This window comes from Homo sapiens, chromosome 12 (assembly GCF_000001405.40).
Source record: "Homo sapiens chromosome 12, GRCh38.p14 Primary Assembly".
NCBI classification, from domain to species: Eukaryota; Metazoa; Chordata; class Mammalia; order Primates; family Hominidae; genus Homo; species Homo sapiens.
The window spans coordinates 102,661,920-102,681,500 of record NC_000012.12 but is presented as its reverse complement, the minus strand read 5'-3'; the positions used below and the strand labels follow the sequence as shown (position 1 = coordinate 102,681,500).

Sequence of the window (19,581 nt, the reverse complement as noted above, 5' to 3'; positions counted from 1 at the left end):
TGATCTCAGGCATGTCTCCATCCGTCTGGCCTCAGGTGTACTGTATCCTAGTCCAAGTGCAACCCCATCTAACAACCTTCCCTGTGACCACTGCAGTCCCTATCACCATAATCTCTCTCCTGGGGAAATGCAACAGGATCACAAAGAACTGAAAAGATTATCTGGCCCAGGCTCCCCAGACTTGGGCATATATTAGAATCATCTAAGTAGCTTTTAAAACTACAAAGTGCTGGGCTCCGCTGCAGCCCCAGTAAATGGGCACTGCTGGAGGGTGGTCCTGGCTACTGTATTTTTTAAAAGCCCTCTAGGTAATTCTAATGTGCCTATCAGGACCGAGAACCAACTGTTCTAGACCAATCACTGGGAAACAATTTATTGATGTATTCAAAGCTATTCTTGAGTGCCTACAGGATAGCAGGAACTGTTCTGTGCATTTAGCAGTGACCATGACAAAGTGCTATGCCCTTTTATGTTTGACTGGAGGAATACAGACATACATAAAGTAAAGAAGTCAACCGCAGAGTTATAGATAGTGGTATGTTCTTTACAGAATATAAGACATGAGGATGTAATAGAAAGTAACTGGAGGAGTGCTAGGGTGGTCAGAGAAGGTTGCTTTAAGGAGTTAACCTCGGAGCTGTGAACTAAATGACAGAAGAATCCTCCAAGGAAGTCTGGATAAAAAGCATTCCCAGGCAGTGGAGCAGCAAGTGTAAAGGTCCTGTGTGCTTGACTAAGAAACTGAAATGTCAGCATGGCTGGAGCAGTCTCTCAGTAAAACAGGGATAGTGACACCTGCCCCAAAATTATCATATTGTTATCTTTTAAATATGTGTGAAGTACTAGGAAACATTTGCAAAAGAAAAGCCCAATATAAATGCAAGAGGTGTCTTGTTTCATTGTTATCACACCTTTCTAATGTACTTCAGTGGCTCAGACATCCAATGACATAGCCCTGTGACAGCCCACTAACAGCTGTGGTGTCCAAACACTGCACCATGATGCAATTGCAGATTCTGGGCCTGGGCTTTTCTGGGAAGTCCTAGGTAACTTTTGCAGAGATGCAGCTATGTTCCAGGAATCTTCTGTAATAAAATGCTGAGACAGGTTTCCATTTATTAGATTCTAGTCCCTTTACGCAAAAGACAAAGTTGAAAGTGAAAGTCAAAAGTCCTTAAAATACACGAAAGAAAGATGATTTACCATGCTAATAAATTGGGTGGTGGGCTACCCAGATGGCCTCCTCCCAGGGCAATCTGGAAGTTTGCCTTTTGCAACATTCCACAACTTTACCCTAGAGACGGGAATAGACAAAGTTCAATCACATTATCACTTTCCACTCTCTCCCCAAAAAGGTACTTTGGGAAAAGGAGGTTAACATTTTTTTAAGCCAATGTTTGTTCTATTAATGTTTTTAATCATCTTTAATCCCACAAGTAATGTAGCTTGTGTTTTCCTTATTATGAAACTAAAATATTATAGAGAAGCAAAAAGTCACTTTGAATACTACCTTGATCCTCAGAAGTAACTACTATTAACAGATTGTTCCTATGCATTTATGTAATTACATATATGCCCATACCTTGGAAAATATTCAGACTTTTTTTTTCTTTTCACATAAATGGAATCATAGTGAAAGTCTTCCAGGACTGCACAGGATGCTTACTGCAAACAATGTAAACTAAAAGCTATGTATATGGCCACCAGTAGAGGAATGGTTGAATGCATTGTGGTGTATTCAAATTATGTGATTCTCTGCAGCTGTGAACTGAATGATGCCCACCCACATTGAGGAGAGCCATCTACTTTACTCAGTCTACCAATCCGAATGCTAATCTCTTTTGCAAACACTCTCACATCATATGCAGAAATAATGTTCAACAAGATATCTGGGCATCCCACAGCCCAATCAAGTTAATACACAAAATTAACCATCACACTGAGGTTTTTTGTTTTGTTTTGTTTTTTAACTTTTTGTGGACTTGATTTTTCTGTTCCCTCAGTCACGTCTCAGGACTTGGGGATGTGTGGACAGTTACATATATCAAATTGAGGCAGCTGGGGGAGGAAACAGGGACAGGCTCCAAACTTTCCAAGAGAAGTGCAATGGTGGGACACAGAGCAAGAGAGAAGATGCAGTTTGGCAAGCCAAGTATGATGACATCCAAGGGGATAAAGCAATCTTGTCATGGTTCAGGCAAATTGGTAGCAATTAGAACAAGGGAAGGTAAATTCCAGGAGGTGAATGCAGCACAGAGGTGGAGAATTCAGTCTACTTCAACATGCTCAGCAATGGCAAGCCCTGCTAATGGTAGCTGGGTTCTGGGGACTAGGCTGGAATTAAAGGTCAGTATTTCCAGTCCTTAGAGGGAGGCTACAAAGAACAAGGTAAGATCACCATCCATAGTTTTATTCCTTCCTTTCTTCATTCATTCATTAAATATCCTCCCTTTTATCATCAAACATTTCCTATGTGTTAAGTACTGTTCTTAACTGAAAATGCGGATTCTAATAAGAAAAACACAATTCCTGCCGTCCTATAAACACATAAATAATATATTTGCAGAGGGTGACCGATAAGAAATTAGAAAGGATCAAGTGCAGACTACGTGAGATAGGGGTCAGGGTAGGCCTTTCTGAGAAAGAGACATTGCTGCAACGACCTGAATAAAGAGAGGGCTAGAGCCAGATAAACAAATATAAGTGAAGATAGTTCCAGGAAGAAGAAACAGAGAATGTTTAAAAATGAAAATATTCCAATGGAATTGGATTGATATAATCCATCTTGCTTCATTCATTCATTCATCTGCCAAATATTTTTTTAGGGCCCATTGTGCAAACCCCCATGCTGCAACTAGGGGATATAATGATTAACAAAGTAGACAGGATTCCTGCCTTCATAGAGCTTATATTCTATTAGGGAGATAAATAAAGAACAGACATAATGAATGTATTAGGCCATTCTTGCATTGCTATAAAGAAATACCTGAAAGTGGGTATTTTTATTTTGTCAAAAAGGAGGTTTAATTGACTCACAGCTCTGTAGGCTTTGTAGGAGGCATGGTTTCAGCATCTTCACTATTACAAAAAGAACACCAAGGGGATGATCTAAAGCATTCATGAGACATCCACCCCGATGATTCAATTACCTCCCAACAAACCCCAATTCCGACATTGGGGATTTCAATTCAACATACTTAGGTGGGGATGCATATCCAGGTGATATCAATGAACATCAAGTGCAAAGGGCAAAGACATGAAGTTAAGTGTTTAAAGAACTGAAAGACGTCCATTGTAGTTGGGGTCTAGTGGGGTGGGTCTGGGAGAATGACACTAGAGATCAGAGAAGTTGATAGTAGTATGGTCTTGCAGAATATTATAAATCGGAAAAAAGTTTACATAAATTAAAAACATAATGGAAAGACATTTGTGGAAGGCTTCATGCAGAAGATGGGGGCAAGGGATGACATGATCTACTTAATATTTTAAGAAACACATTTTTTAAGTACAAGAATGAACTGGAGGCAAGCAATATGGTCATAGAGATATGAGTTAGGATGCTATTGGAACGGTCTTGGCAGGAGATGTTGGTACCTGGACCACGGAAATAGCAATGGAAACAAAAAGATGGCATATTTAAGAGATACCTCAGATATGGAATCCAAGGCTTCGTTGATGGATTGGAGTTAAGAGATGAAGGCAAGAGAGGAAGACAGGTTGATGCCCAGGTAGACGCTGGTCAGATGAATTGGGCGGATGATTGTTCCATATCCCATGGAGACTCAATTGACTTGCACATACCTCGTCTTCTCTTCTTCTGAATTACACTTCTCACTTTTAGTTAGTGCCTTTTGCAATGGCTAACAAACTGTTCAATAGCATACTACAGTCTCTCCACATGTTTTTAAATTAATTTTATCCTTTATTAAGAAGTAATACATTTACACAATTCAAAAAATAAAATGACACAAGCCTCATTGAATAAGGTGTATGACACAAGCCTCATTGAATAAGCCTCATTGAATAAGCCTCATTGAATAAGAAGTCTAACTGCTACTTCTGTCCCCGTCTGCTCTGCTACCCATCTAGCTCACCATTTTTAGATAATTACCTGTATCAGTTTTGGATGTGCAACAAATGTAGTGGCTTAAAACAACTGTTTATTTAGCTTGTGATCCTATGGTAAGCTGAACAGTTCTGGTCTGGGTGCTGCTGGCCAAACTGCTGAGTAGGCTCATGTGTCTGGGGTCAGTTGGCCATTTGGCTGGAGGCTGAATGTGTTAAATTGACATGGTGGTTATACTGCATTGACTTAGCTTAAATTCAAGTGTATTTCCTAGAATTCCCTTCCCTGTGTAATTCTGGATTAGGGCAGACAACACAAGCTATTTGCATGATACCTGGAAGGTAGAAGTAAAGCAGCAGTCTTTATACTTGCAATGTTGGTGCAGGGCCCAAGCACTGTTGCAACTCACGCATGCCATTGATCTGCTAGCTTACCCTTTGGCATGGGACAGCAGCAAGACACACAATTCCTCCAGCTCCCATGAATCTCCTCCTCTAGCTTCCCTAAATCCTGGGCCAGGCACATGTGCAGCTCCATAGCAAAGGAGTTAGATGCAATAGAAGACAGACATGGGTTCCAGTGTGTCCTCATTCTCTCTTGTTTTGTGCCCAGGTTTTCTTTTTGACTACCTGTCTTGCTTCAGTGACTTCAGAAATAGTATCAGATGCAAAATCAACAGCTTTCCCCAGATCTCCATTGTGGTTTCTGGTCAATAACTTTCAACTGTGCAAGGTCTAAGTCTTATGGTAAATCCCTTATTACATATCACTCTGCAGTTAATAGACTGCTAGATAGGTTACAGGAGGTAAGAAGTGGGTAGGCAGCTGGTTCTTGTGTCTCTCATTATCCACCAGGCCAGTCTGGGCATCTTCAGATGGCAGGCAGAGGGTTCCAAGAACAATAAGAGAAGGCAATTCCCAAATTCTGCTTGCATCACATTGGCCAAAGCAAATCCCACGGCCAATCTCAGAGACAGTGTGGCACAGTATTACCCAAAGAGAGTAGATAAAAAGAGGTGTGAACCTATAAGGCTATTATTGCAAAAAATATGTAACAGGAATGACACAGTATAGATTACTGCCTAGGCATTAGCTTACCACACCCAACTAGCCAAGCCAGTGACCAGAGATAGGAACTTAGAGGTATCTTCTTCACCAAGTAGACTAGGTGTATTAGTCCCTTCTCACACTGCTATAAAGAACTACCTGAGATTGGGTATTTATGAAGAATATAGGTTTAATTGACTCAAGTTCTCTAGGCCATAGAGTGAGCATGGCTGGGAGGCCTCAGGAAACTTATAATCATGACAGAGGGGGAAGCAAGCCTGTCTTTACCATGGCAGAGCAAGAGAGACAGAGAGAGAAGAAGGAAGTGCCGTACAGTTTTAAACCATCAGAACTCATAACTCACTCACTATCACGAGAACAGCAAGGGGGAAATCTGTCCCCATGATCCAATCACCTCCCACAAGGCCTGCCCCCGACACATGGGGATTACAATTTGACATGATATTTGGATGGGGACACAGAGCCAAACCACATCACTGGGCTCCCCACTTTTCCTGCTGTTTCCTTTAAACAAATCATTCAGGCATTTGCCCACAAACTTAAAGTGACTCATGCCCTATTCCCTTATATATATACTGCTAGTTGTCATGCTCTCTTTCTCTGTCTGATTCTTCATTCCTGTTTCACGTGACCTGGGGACAGAGGACTGACCACCCAACTCATTGTGCCCTCCTTGCCCGCAACTTTTTTCCCATTTCCTATGGCGGTGGTATATTAAATTTTTGCCTTCCATCTGAAGAACCAGGAACTACCCCAGGCCAAATTTTCCCCAGAGGTGATAGGGAGAACACAAGTTTCTGCTCCCAGTGGCAAAGCAGTAGTCAGGCAGGTGAAAACTGGAGATGGGTTAGACAAGAGCCTCAAGGGCATCTACCTGCATAAACAAATTTCTCATGTGAGGGATCCCCTAGTCACAGGTTGAGCAACTAGACATCTTCCAGGGATGCCACAAGTTTACTGTGAGAGGCACACTATACACACCTATGTCCAACTCTCCTTCATTTTCTGCTAGGAAAATGAAATGAAAATCCTAATTTAGCTGGAGGTTCTCAAAATAAAATGCCACACGACTTTTGTTGGTTTCTTCTGTATCTCTTCAGCACTTCCTCATGGGAATAAACACAGCTAATCATGAACATATATTTTACTTTCCTCCTTTTTTACACTATATATTGCTCATAACTTTTTGCTTAACAACATACCTTTGCAATATATGGTTTTCTCATTCCTTTATACAGCTGGATAGTTTTTGTATGTGAATGTGCTGTAGTTTACTTAATCAGTACCCCACCTATGAATAATTGTGTTGTTGTCAATCTTTTGCTAGTTCAACAGTGCTATAAAGAATTATCTTGCACTTGTGTCATTTTTATTTATACTGTTGCTCTTTTAAGTTAGCATATTTTCTAGTTTCCTCCAGTAATTATTTACGGAGATGAGATTTTTCCCTTTCTCTATATTTGTTATATTGGTGTTATACAGTCTGAGTATCCAACTTATCACCTGATGATAGACTCTGGAAAGCGCACCTATTCACTATCTTCAGGAGAGTCATTCTTAAACATTCACCTCAGTGGCCAAATAAAAATTCAGATTCCCAAGTCCCATTCTCTAGATCCTTTGAGAAGTAGCTTCAGAGTGGAGCTTCGAATCTGCATGTTAAACAAGCACCTCAAGATCATTAGGAATCATTGATCTGCCACATACATAGAAGTAGGCTTTCAAATATTGCTCATCTGGACCTGTAGAATAGCTAGCATACCAACAGGAAGATATATTCTCTAGAAAAACAACCCAAAATGTAAAGCAAACTTTACATGTAGGTTCATTTATTCTGTCTGTCCTGATAATGGTGATAACGAAACTGCCTCTACAAACCTTATAAAATTAATCACGGAAGAAGGGAGAGGGAGAAATAAAAATACACCAAGCTTGCAGCATATCTGGCATTTACAGTTAAGTCAGCTCACTCTCTAACCTGCTTCCTCATAGTTGTTTGGTGTCTATTGTCCTGGAATTATATCACATTTCAAAATTATATTAATAGTCCCCCTTAACTCCTCATGGATAACAAAACAGTGTGATAGGTTAAGTTTTCCCTTTGAGATATTCCTTCAGGTCCTGCATACCAATGAAACTACCAGCTCAGTTGGTCTGAAGAACCTCACTGACACCAGGTGGTCTGAAGGACCCCACAAGAAACTGACTCACTGAAGAATGCAGTTTCCATATCCTGATGATTTTATTCCTCTTACCCCTACCAATCAATCACCCCAACTCTCTAGCCCCTTGCTCTCCATGATCCCTTTATTAACCCCAGCACAGAAGTCCTTGGGGAGATGGATTTGAGAATCTCGTTACTCAGTACCCTGCAATCAAACTCTTTCTCTGCTGCAAATTCTGCTGCCTCAGTGTAATGGGTCTGTGACTACACAATGGGCATATAAACCTGTTGGTCTTACAACAATAATGATCTCCCTCACTGTATACCATGAGGAGAGAATTGTTATGCTGATGGGATAGGGTGTAAAATCAGAAGGTGGTTGTGAAAGATTGTTCAATTTGTAAAGAAGCCCAACCTATGTATAATAGGCTCTAAGATACTAAGAGGAAGCTTGAGTTCAATAAAGTCTCTTGAGACTCAAGGATTACTGAACTCTTTCTCTGAAAGTTTCCCAACATACTCCAGGAAAACAATAAAGAGTAGGTCACAGTAGTCGTGAAAAGAACCTGAGAACAAGGACTAAGCAGAAAGCCCAAAACTAAGTACAAAGTACACAGTGGGAAATAAGATTCAGGAATGAGGAAATGGCTCTGTTATTCAATTGAGGGCTTTAAGATGGTGTTAGACAGGTTTCCTCTGACTCAAAGTCACATTACCTGGGCCTCTGTTTCATACTTACTCCATTACCCATTATAAAATATTTATTAGTGAGGCTCCTAACTTATGTGCTCTTAAACAGCAATGGTTTTCTTCCCAAACACTTATCTCACATGTTTTTGGGGTGTTTAATTGATTATCACCTGTTTCTCTCTAGCAGGCTGGAAGCTCCATGAAAACAGGAGTGTATCTAAATTTTGCTCCTATTGCTTATCTGGCCAGCTCACTGATGTCATGACAAACCAGAGGCCATATCTAGCTATAAGCATATCCAATGGTGCCTGGCTCCATAAGCATATGAGTAGTAGAAGAAAAGCCAGGTTTGAACTGTGTAGAACTAGAACTAGTCTGTTGAAACTTTTCTGATAATCATACACATAAGACTGTGAAAGCAGAGGATACAGTTCTCATAGATGCCTATGTACAACAAACTTGAAAATGCAGTCTATATAATTGTGAATGCCAGGTGCATTTATTATTTTTCTGTCTTTAATAGGATAAAAAATGAAATAAAATTTATCATTATACCCATGTTTATAGGGTGTAAACCTATACTGACACTATTTTAAAAAGTTTGAGCAACTAAAAGACAATATTTCTTCTATTCTCTTTACAGAAGATGATATTATTAAACCACGGTCATGAAACCACCTTTGCAAAAGTATGACTGATACATTGAAAGAGATCTAACTTAACTGACTCCATTTTGCTTCTAACCACCAACCTGTCTTTGTTCATTCCTGGGCATAGGCTGAACTAACTTTTGGAGAAACTTAGTTTTATAGTTTATAGTTTAAACAAAGATGGTAACAGCCCTTTCTCAAAGCAGACCTCCTTCTTGCCTGGGGACTAGATTGCCTTTTTAGGACTAACATTAATGACAAGATTAGAAATAATGGTTTAGGAGTCATGCAGCTGGAGGCTGCAAGATTCTGACCCTCCCTAAACTGCTCCTAAGATCAGTGCTTGAGATACTTTGCAGACTCTGCATGTGATGGAGCAGCTGGCACCACCCAGATTAATAAACTGACTCATCTGATCTTGTGGCCCCCTCCCCAGGAACTGACTCAGCACAAGAAGATAACTTCAACTCCCTATGATTTCACCCCTGACCAATCAGCACTCCTGGCTCACTGGCTTCCCCCTACCCCCAAGTTATCCTTAAAAACTCTGCTCTCCAATGGTTGAGGAGACTGATTTGAGTAATAATAAAATTCCAGTCTCCCACACAGCCAGATCTGCATGAATTACTCTTTCTCTTGCAATTCCCTTGTCTTGATGAATGGGCTCTGTCTAGGCAGCAGGCAAGGTGAAACCCTCAGGTGCTTACAGTCATATGAAGAAGTAATCAAGGAATATGTTATCAAAAATGTAGTTAGAAAAATTATAATAGGGAGGCTGAGGTGGAAGGATCATTTGGGCCTGAGAGGTCAAAGCTGCAATAGGCTAGGATCATGTAACTAGCCATAGAGCAAGACCCTGTGTCTAAAAAAAAAAAAAAAGAAAGAAAGAAAGAAAAAAGGAGAAAAGCTATATCAATGTGCAGCCAATTAAAATTTTTATTTTGTGATATTTATGGTCTTTATCAGCTTTTTAAAATCTGTAATTTGTTGTGATTTTTTTCTATAATCACAATTTTTATTTTTTTCTTAGTTTCCCCAGAAACCAAGATATGCCTGTGGGCATGCCCCATGACCTTTCCACACATGCTTAGGTAGTGGACAGTTGTACAATTACTTTAAGTTGCAAATAGTCTCAGTTCAGAAAGTTTAATGTCAATCCAAGATATCATTTAAAAATCCCAAGATGACTTAGAGTTAATTCTTCTTTTCTCCTTAGTTTGAGTATATTTCAGGTTGCAGAACTGCAGAGGAAAAGGGGAATCTTTGTTGATTTCTGCTATATATTTTCTACCTTATGCTTCTCTTCTCTACTCCCTCCCTAGGTAGCCAAAAGTTTCTGACCTCTCCAAGGTTAGAAGGGAATAGTAAAGGAAGGTCTTAATGGAATCTCAGAGCTTGCCTGTTCTCTGGACCTGGCCCATTATATCTCCTCAGTGGTGTTTTGATGGGAGTGTCTGACGGTTCTGCACGGAGTCCCTCCCAACTTCAGGTCCCTTGATTCAGGCAGATGTGGATACATTTCTCTTTAATGGTTGCTCTTGATTCCTCCCTTATCCAAGGTGTTCACCTACAGATTCTTGCTGCTGGGATCCCTTTGCACTCCCAAAATCAAAAATGATCCATCTCTGACTCTGTCTCCTGGTAGCACATGTATGGTCCTTAGGAAGTCATTTTGTATTCCTTGCTCCAACATGCCTTGGGAACACAGTCCAACCCCAGTAGAGAAATTTTCTTCTGATAACAGCACCAAAACATTGGGCAGCCCTCCTCTTTTTTTGTAGATTCCCCAGACAGCGGTCAGACCCTGTACCCAACCACATAGTGGCTTCCTCAAAATCTCCTCTCACTACACAAGAAGTGAAGAAATAGAAAATCACCTCGCACCTCTCCCTTTTTATGGTCTTACCTGCCTGAGGGGGTCAAACATTTATCAAGCAGTTCCTCAGGCTCATTTCCTTTATAAATATGCAACTGGCAATCAGGGACTCCTTTTTTGAATTTTTCATCAATTGTATTTTGGAGCCTGCTTATAACTTCAATGTTAACACCCCATTATAGTCTTAATTGCCTTTGTTTCATTTCATGGTAAGCAGCTGTTTTCTTCTTTGGACTGCTAAATTCACTATCTGTAAAGAAAGACAGTGTTTATAAAATGCTAGATATCACCAGTTCAAATTAGCTCACTCTTTCTCTTATATTTCCTCATTTTTAACTCCTCTGGAAGGAATAAAATTGCACTGAAACACCTTTGGTCAATGCGTGGGCCTATATAAACACAAAATTAATTAATTATTTTAATTAACTAGTTAATTCCTTTAACATTGAAGAGGTATTGAGCATTTCTTTTGTGCAAGTCATTCTGCTAGGTACCAAAAAATCAAGCCACAGCAGAGGTTGTGTGAAGTAAAGATATGTGTATTATTCAGTATTGATTTCCTATCCCTTCTTTTTTGCCTAAACTCTTCTCAAAACCCAAAGAAGCTAAAAACCATACTGGAAGGAGGATTCTGCTAATGATACCTCAATGCCTTCCCTCAATGTAATACTAAACTACTTCACCTAAATAGATTGGAACTAAGAGGCTGTCCTTATGTTCTCCAAAGAGTGTCAGCCCTCTTAGCAGTATTTGTTTATTAACTCACAGGCACTAGACTCCAATGTGGTAGTTCCTCTGCCCAAGAGTGAACTATGAATTCCGCCAATGTAAATTTCCATCTCTCCCTGGCACCTGAATCTTCTCCTCAACTTCTGCCTTGATTCTTATTTTGAAATTAGTTATTTTCATTTAAATTAGGCCTTTCAAACCGCATTATTTGATGGAATTCTTTACAGCTCCTCTTGCTAATGCAAGTTGGTGACTAATTCCTAAGTCCTAGAAAAATGACTTTTTCTTTTTATTTTTTTCTATCTTTAGGGGTTCTGTTTGGCAAGGATCCTTCAAGAGCCCTGTTAAGAAGACAGAATACTTTTCTCAAGTGTTAACTTCCTCAATCAAGACAGGCTCTATTGAGAGTTGGATCTCTGTCTTGCCAATAATCTATGCTTTAGATGGGGGGTTGGGAGGAGAGTAAATGACTTTCCTGGAACCCAGGAGAATGAGTGACCTTAGATGACTCCTCCCAGAGACTTCTGAGAAGAAGCTGCAGCTGCCATTTTAGTTTTCTTACAGACAGTATTCTGTGTCTTTTTTTTTTTTAATGGCTTCAAGGAGTAAAATCAAATATATCTTCTTTATGACCATGTCAGGTTCTACTTCTGCTAAGTACTAAAGGTTTTCTTAGGTCTTAAAACAAGTGTCAGGGGTGTAAATTCTATAAAAAAGAAAGAACTGGATGTTCAAAAAACAGACCACATGGTGGCCACTTGAAAGTACAAGTTTATAGCAAATGGCTGAAACTTTCTAGTAATGCTGAAATGATTTTGTTTAAGTGTAATGTTTCCAAATATTTTTCAGGATTCATTTGGGAATGATTAAGATAATGTTACATCTTTTCAGTGTTATGAAAAAGATGGCTTTCAATCGGAGAGAGATTTCAGCAGGTCACTAAGGAAATAAAGCCAACCTAGTCATCTTCTCCCCCTGGTATGTGGAGGGAATGAGCTTTTGTTATTAGGGCACCTCAGGACATGCTAGTTGTCTGCTGAGTATCCAAAAGAATGAAGAACATGCACCCTCAGGAGCTCCCTGAGGAGTTTAGAACTGACTTTTAGTTAGAGTAGGGTATTGCTATCATGCCCATGACAACCTTGGAACCTCAGAAGGCATGCCACCAATTTGCTCTGCAGTCCCAGCAAGGATATGCTTCACTGCATTATACAAATATACAAATAAAATGAAAAGGACTGGTCAGAAGCATCTGGGAATGGGTCAAGAACAGAGTCTGTAAGGCATAGTTAGCCAACAGCTGAATGGGTGTTGTGAGGACAGGGTGTCTAGTGGTGGGGAAGCCCCTGCATGCATTTGGACAAGCCCTTGCTGACAAGGAGGTCTGCTGGATGTTTTATGTTCTGAATACATTCCCATGAAGGTTAGCCTAAAGCCACTGATGCATAATGGGGAGAGACACAGCTTAAACAAGGTAAGAGAGAAAAAAGCAAAGTTGATGCAGATAAAATATGATTTACAAGTCTCTGGGTTGGTGCCCTAATTGGTTCAAGAAAGGAGGGAGCAGAGTTAGTGAAAGTCCAGGCCAGAAAGCATTTACAGACTGGTCTTATTGACAATAATGAAATTCCAAATTAATATGGCTATATAAATCCTAAGGACATGCTATTTCATGGATTTATATAAGGTGGGGGGTGTTGGGGGAGAGAGAGGTTATGTTTAGTAATGAAGCATGTAGAAAAATGAATGAGATTATAGGTTTCTGGAGGCCAAGAACTCTAAAGTCAAAATGCCTGGGTTCAAATCCTGGCTCTGCCTTTTTTCAGATATAAAACCTTGAGCGAGTCACTTAACATCTCTATGCCTCAGTTTCCTCATAAGATTGTTGTATTAATCTTTATAAACCACTTACAGTGTCCCTAACACATAAGTGCTCAATTAATATTACTTATTATTCTTCTAATCTTATCATTATCATCATTATTTTAAACATACATCTGTAAAACACATTGTATTAGTCAGGGTTTTTCAGAGAACCAGACTAATGGAGTTCATATGCATAAAATATACTGTTGGGAGCAGGCCCCCCAAAATCTGGCCATAAACTGGCCCCGAAACTGGCCATAAACAAAATCTCTGCAGCACTGTAACATGTTCATAATGGCCCTAATGCCCATGCTGGAAGGTTGTAGGTTTATGGGAATGAGGGCAAGGAACACCTGGCCTGCCCAGGGCAGAAAACCACTTAAAGGCATTCTTAAACCACAAACAATAGCATAAATGATCTGTGCCTTAAGGACATGCTCCTGCTGCAGTTAACTAGCCCAACCTATTCCTTTAATTCAGCCCATCCCTTCATTTCCCAAAAGGGATACTTTTAGTTAATTTAATGTTTATAGAAACAATGCTAATGACTGGTTTGCTGTTAATAAATACGTGGGTAAATCTCTGTTCAGGGCTCTCTGCTCTGAAGACTGTGAGACCCCTGATTTCCCCCTTCACACCTCTATATTTCTGTGTGTGTGTATTTAATTCCTCTTGCGCTGCTGGGTTAGGGTCTCCCCAGCCGAGCTGGTCTTGGCAAGTGGCATCCATCATGGGGGCTCAAATCCAGGTCGAAGGGTCACCAGAGTGATGGCTGGAACAAAAAACTAACTGGAGGACACCCAAGTACTCTTAAAGCAATCCCCATGGTGAGTAAGAAGAGGAGCTCAGAAGCATCAGGATAACAATGGGACAGGTGTGGGGTCTGGTTCATTTCACCTTGGAACTTTTTCACACTGATAATGAGGAGGAACGAGAATATAACGAAGTAACAGAAGAGGTTACAAAGCATGTTTATTTACCAGCTAAAGCTAAAGCAGCAAAGGAAGGAGAGGTTCATCCCAACCCTTCTACACCCCCTTCTTATTATTTTGAAGAAAAAGACCCTCCAGATTTTTCTTTACCAGAGGACACTGGGAGAAAAGTAGTTGCCCCAGTGACTGTTCAAGCAGCACCTCGAATGACCACTCTTAGTTCTATTCAGGCAGGAATTCAGCAAGCTAGACAAGAGGGTGATTTAGAGGCTTGGCAGTTCCCTGTTAGAATACATCCCCCAGATCAACAGGGAAATATTATAGCTACATTTGATCCTTTTCCTTTTAAATTCCTCAAAGAATTTCAACAAGCTATAAATCAGTATGGACCAGGTTCTCCTTTTATAATGGGACTGTTAAAGAATTTTGCTGTTTCCAGTAGGATGGTTCCTACTGACTGGGACACTCTTACTCGAGCTTGTCTAACTCCTGCTTAGTTCTTACAATTTAAAACCTGGTGGGCAGATGAAGCTTCCATTCAGGCTGCTCCCAATACCCAGGCCCAAACTCAAATTAATATAACTGCAGACCAACTTTTGGGGGTTGGCAGCTGGGCTGGTTTAGATGCACAACTGGTCATGCAGGATGATGCCATAGAATAGCTTAGAGGAGTGTGCATTAGAGCTTGGGAAAAAAATCACTTCAAGTGGGAAACAATACCCTTCCTTTAGTGCTATAAAACAGGGACCAAGAGAACCATACATTGATTTAGTAGCTCAGTTATGGGAGTCTCTTAAAAAGATGATTGCAGATTCAGCTGCTCAGGATATAGTGTTGCAGTTATTAGCTTTTGACAATGCTAATCCCGATTGCCAGGCTGCTCTGTGACCTATCAGAGGGAAAGCACATTTACTTGATTATATCAAGGCCTATGATGGTATCGGAGGTAATCTGCATAAAGCTACTCTGCTAGCACAGGCAATGGCAGGACTGAGAGTGGACAAAGGAAATACTCCATTTCCTGGAGCTTGTTTTAACTGTGGGAAGCAGGGTCACACTAAAAAAGAATGTAGAAAAAAATCAGCCAGTCAGGCCGCCAGATGGGGGAAAAAAGAAAACTGCTGATCCTGAAAGATGTCCAAAATGTAAAAAAGGAAAACATTGGGCTAATCAGTGTCACTCTAAGTTTGATAAAGAAGGGAACCCAATTTCAGGAAATGCCATGAGGGGCCCATCCTGGGCCCTGTTCTAAACTGCGGCATTTCCAGCTCAGGCCATTCCCTCACCCCCGTACAATGTCTGTCCCCCACCACAGCCGGTGGTGCCGCAGTAGATTTATGCTGCACAAAAGCTGTAAGCCTTCTGCCTGGGGAACCACGCAAAAGGTCCCAACAGGAGTCTGTGGACCCTTGCCAGCAGGGACAATAGGATTACTTTTAGGAAGGTCTAGTTTAAGTTTAAAAGGTGTACAAATACATACAGGAGTCATTGATTCAGATTACAATGGGGAAATTCAAATTGTTCTATCTACTTCTGTTCCCTGGAAAGCAGAGCCAAGAGAGTGCATAGCACAGCTCCTGATTGTGCCGTAAGTAGGAATGGGAAAAAGTGAAATTAAACCAACAGGAGGATTTGGAAGCACAAATAAACAAGGCAAAGCAGCTTATTGGGTAAATCAAATTACTGATAAACGTCCTACCTGTGAAATAACTATTCAAGGAAAGAAATTTATAGGTTTGATAGATACAGGAGTGGACATTTCAATCATTTCCCTACAGCACATGCCATCCATGTGGCCAGTTCAACCCACTCAATTTAACATAGTTGGAGCTGGTAAAGCCCCTGAAGTGTATCAAAGTAGTTATATTTTGCATTGTGAAGGGCTCAATGGACAACCTGGGACTATTCAACCAATTATAATTTCTGTACCTATAAATTTATGGGGAAGAGATTTATTACAACAATGGGGAGCACAAGTTCTAATTCCAGAACAATTGTATAACCCTCAAAGTCAACATATGATGCATGAAATAGGGTACGTCCCTGGTATGGGACTAGAAAAAAATTTGCAAGGTTTGAAAAAACCGCTTCAAGTGGAAAGACAAAGTTCCCGCCAAAGATTAGGAAACAATTTTTGATGGTGGCCATTGTTAAGCCTCCAGAACCTATGCCTTTAAAATGGTTAACAGATAAGCCAATTTGGATGGAACAATGTCCGTTAAGTAAAGAGAAACTGGAGGCTTTAGAGAAATTAGTTACTGAACAATTAGAAAATGGGCACATAGCTCCAAAATTTTCTCCTTGGAATTCTCCAGTTTTCATAATTAAGAAAAAATCAGGTAAATGGAGAATGTTAACTGACTTAAGAGCCATCAATTCAGTTATACAACCTATGGGAGCATTACAGCCAGGATTGCCTTCTCCTGCTATAATTCCAAAAAATTGGCCTTTAATAGTCGTAGATTTTAAAGACTGTTTCTTTACTATCCCTTTAGCTGAGCAAGACTGTGAATGGTTTGCATTTACAATTCCTGCAGTAAACAACCTGCAGCCTGCTAAGCGTTATCATTGGGAAGTGTTGCCATAGGGCATGTTAAACAGTCCCACAATTTGCCAGATGTATGTGGGGCAAGCAATTGAACCTACTCGTAAAAAATTTTCACAGTGTTACATATTCACTATATGGATGATATACTTTGTGCTGCCCCCACTTGAGAAATATTACTCCAGTGTTATGATCACTTGCAAAATTCGATTTATCATGCTGATTTAATTATAGCTTCTGACAAAACTCAGACTATTACTCCTTACTCCTACTTGGGAGTAGTAGTCTTAGTAAATGACACTACCATTGTGCCACAGAAAGTAACCATACGTAAGGATCAACCAAAAACGTTAAATGACTTTCAGAAGTTACTAGGGTACATTAATTGGATATGACCTGCTCTAGACATTCCTACCTATGCCATGAGTAATCTGTTTTCTATCCTTAGAGGAAATCCTAGTCTTACTAGCCCTCGGCAATTAACAAATGAGGCTGAGGCAGAGTTACAACTAATTGAAAAGCAAGTCCATAAAGCTCAAATAAATAGAATAGATCCAGAGAAGACTCTAGATTTGCTAATTTTTTCATCTCAGCATTCACCTACTGGTGTTATTGTCCAAGAACAGGACTTAGTAGAGTGGCTTTTTCTTCCACACACTAATTTGTGGACTCTAACTCCTTATTTAGATCAAATTGCTACTATGATAGGAATTGGGAGAACTCGGATTGCTAAATTACATGGATATGATCCTGGAAAAATTATTGTCCCTCTCATGAAGGCACAAATACAGCAAGCTTTTATAAATAGTCTTACTTGGCAAACCCATTTAGCTGACTTTGTGGGTATTCTCGATAATCATTTTCCTAAAACGAAGCTGTTTCAGTTTTTGAAATTAACTAATTGGATTCTCCCCAAAATAACTGAATTCAAACCAATTGAAGGTGCTGAGAATGTTTTTATAGATGGGTCTAGTAACGGTAAAGCTTCTTATTCTGGCTCGAAAAGTAAAGTTTTCCAGACGCCCTATACTTCAGCTCAAAAAGCGGAACTTGTAGCTGTAATTGAGGTATTGACTGCTTTTGATATGCCTATTAATGTGAATTCTGATTCTTCATATGTGTTTCTTTCCACACAGTTAATTGAAAATGCTCAGTTATGATTTCATACAGATGAACAACTGATGACTTTATTTACCCAATTACAAACAGCAGTTAGGAGTAGAATGCATCATTTTTACATCACTCACATTAGGGCTCATACACCTCTTCCAGGACCTTCGACTAAAGGGAATCAAATGGCTGATCACCTAGTTGCTAATGCAATATCTAATGCTAGACATTTTCACAATTTAACCCATGTTAATGCCTCTGGTCTCAAACACAGATACAACATTAACTGGAAAGAAGCTAAAGCTATTATCCAGCGATATCTAACTTGCCAAATTGGTACATTCCTCATCTTTTACAGGAGGAGTTAATCCTTGAGGATTGGAACCTAACTCTCTTTGGCAAATGGATGTCACACATGTTCCCTCATTTGGGAAACTAGCTTATGTACATGTACGTGTGGACACCTTTTCCCACTTTGTCTGGGCTACATGCCAATCAGGAGAGTCTTCTGCCTGTGTTAAATGTCATCTTTTGCAGTGTTTTGCGGTGATGGGCATTCCAGCTTCTAGTAAAACAGATAATGCCCTAGGCTATACTAGCCAAGCTCTAGCTACATTTATCTCTACATGGAATATTAAACACATTACTGGTATCCCATACAATTCTCAAGGACAAGCCATAGTGGAAAGAATGAATCTCTCCCTAAAACAGCAGTTGCAAAGGCAGAAAGGGGGAGACAGAGAATATGGAACCTCACACATACAACTGAATCTAGCACTATTAACTTTAAATTTTTTGAGCCTGCCCAAAGGTCAGATATTATCAGCAGTTGAACAGCATCTACAGAAACCAGTTGCAAAGACAGAAGCAGAACAACTGATTTGGTGGAGAGATCTGATAACAACAAGTTGGGAAATAGGTAAAATAATAACCTGGGGTAGAGGTTATGCTTGTGTTTCTCCAGGACCGAATCAACAGCCGATTTGGATACCATCAAGACACCTGAACCCTTAACATGAGCCAGATGCCAAGGAAGAGACTCTGGGAGGATCCCGAGGACCCCCCAGTTGCAGCCATGTTGAGACTGACACTGAGGAGGACCCCAACTGTCATGAGCAACACCCATAGAACACAGCCACCCACCTGGGGACAGATCAAGAAGCTGTCTTAGATGGCGGAAGAAAACCTGAGGAAAGCGGGACAACCAGTCACAATGAATAATTTAATGGTAGCTATGATAGCAGTTATCACCACTGCTGTGAGTATTCCTTCAATAAGGGCTGACACAGAGAACAATTATACTTACTGGGTATATTTATCAATCTTGGCTGGCAATAATGCCTGGATGCAATCACTTTATGACACAGTTACACATGCTTTCTGATCTCAGCATTTACTACAATAAATCTGCTCCTATAATTGAGGCATACCACCCTCAAAAACCTATTTGTAAACAGGATTGGACCCAGTTGGAAAAAATAAATGTACTTTTTTAGGAAGATTGCATCGCAGAACAGGCAGAGGTTCTGCACAACGATTCCTATGGAAACATTATTAATTGGTCCCCTAAGGGGATGTTTAGCTTGAATTGCACCTCTCAGTCTGCATGCCATGGCCACACTATGTTCAGCTGGTCTGAACAAAATGGCCAGATGGTAGATACAATAAGAAGTACGGCAAGAGTTCCTATTATCTGGAACCATGGCGGTATAGTGGCACTTCAACCTCAAATGATATGGCCTGCTCTAGGAGCTTAACATAAGGATTGAAAACTGAAAGAACAAATATTTAAAGCATCCCATGCAAATCTGACCTTAATGCCAGGAACTGGAGTGCTTAAAGGAGCTGAAAGTGGATAAAAACACTTGGAAGCTCTGTGATTTCAA

The 19,581-nt window shown here is 40.2% G+C and overlaps 1 long non-coding RNA gene across 1 annotated transcript in view; it reads right to left on the bottom strand.

The window, feature by feature from the left end:
* Window positions 1-19,581, bottom strand: part of LINC02456 (long intergenic non-protein coding RNA 2456) — a 432,422-nt gene that overhangs the window by 30,495 nt on the left and 382,346 nt on the right. The gene's annotated exons all lie outside the window — the stretch shown is intronic.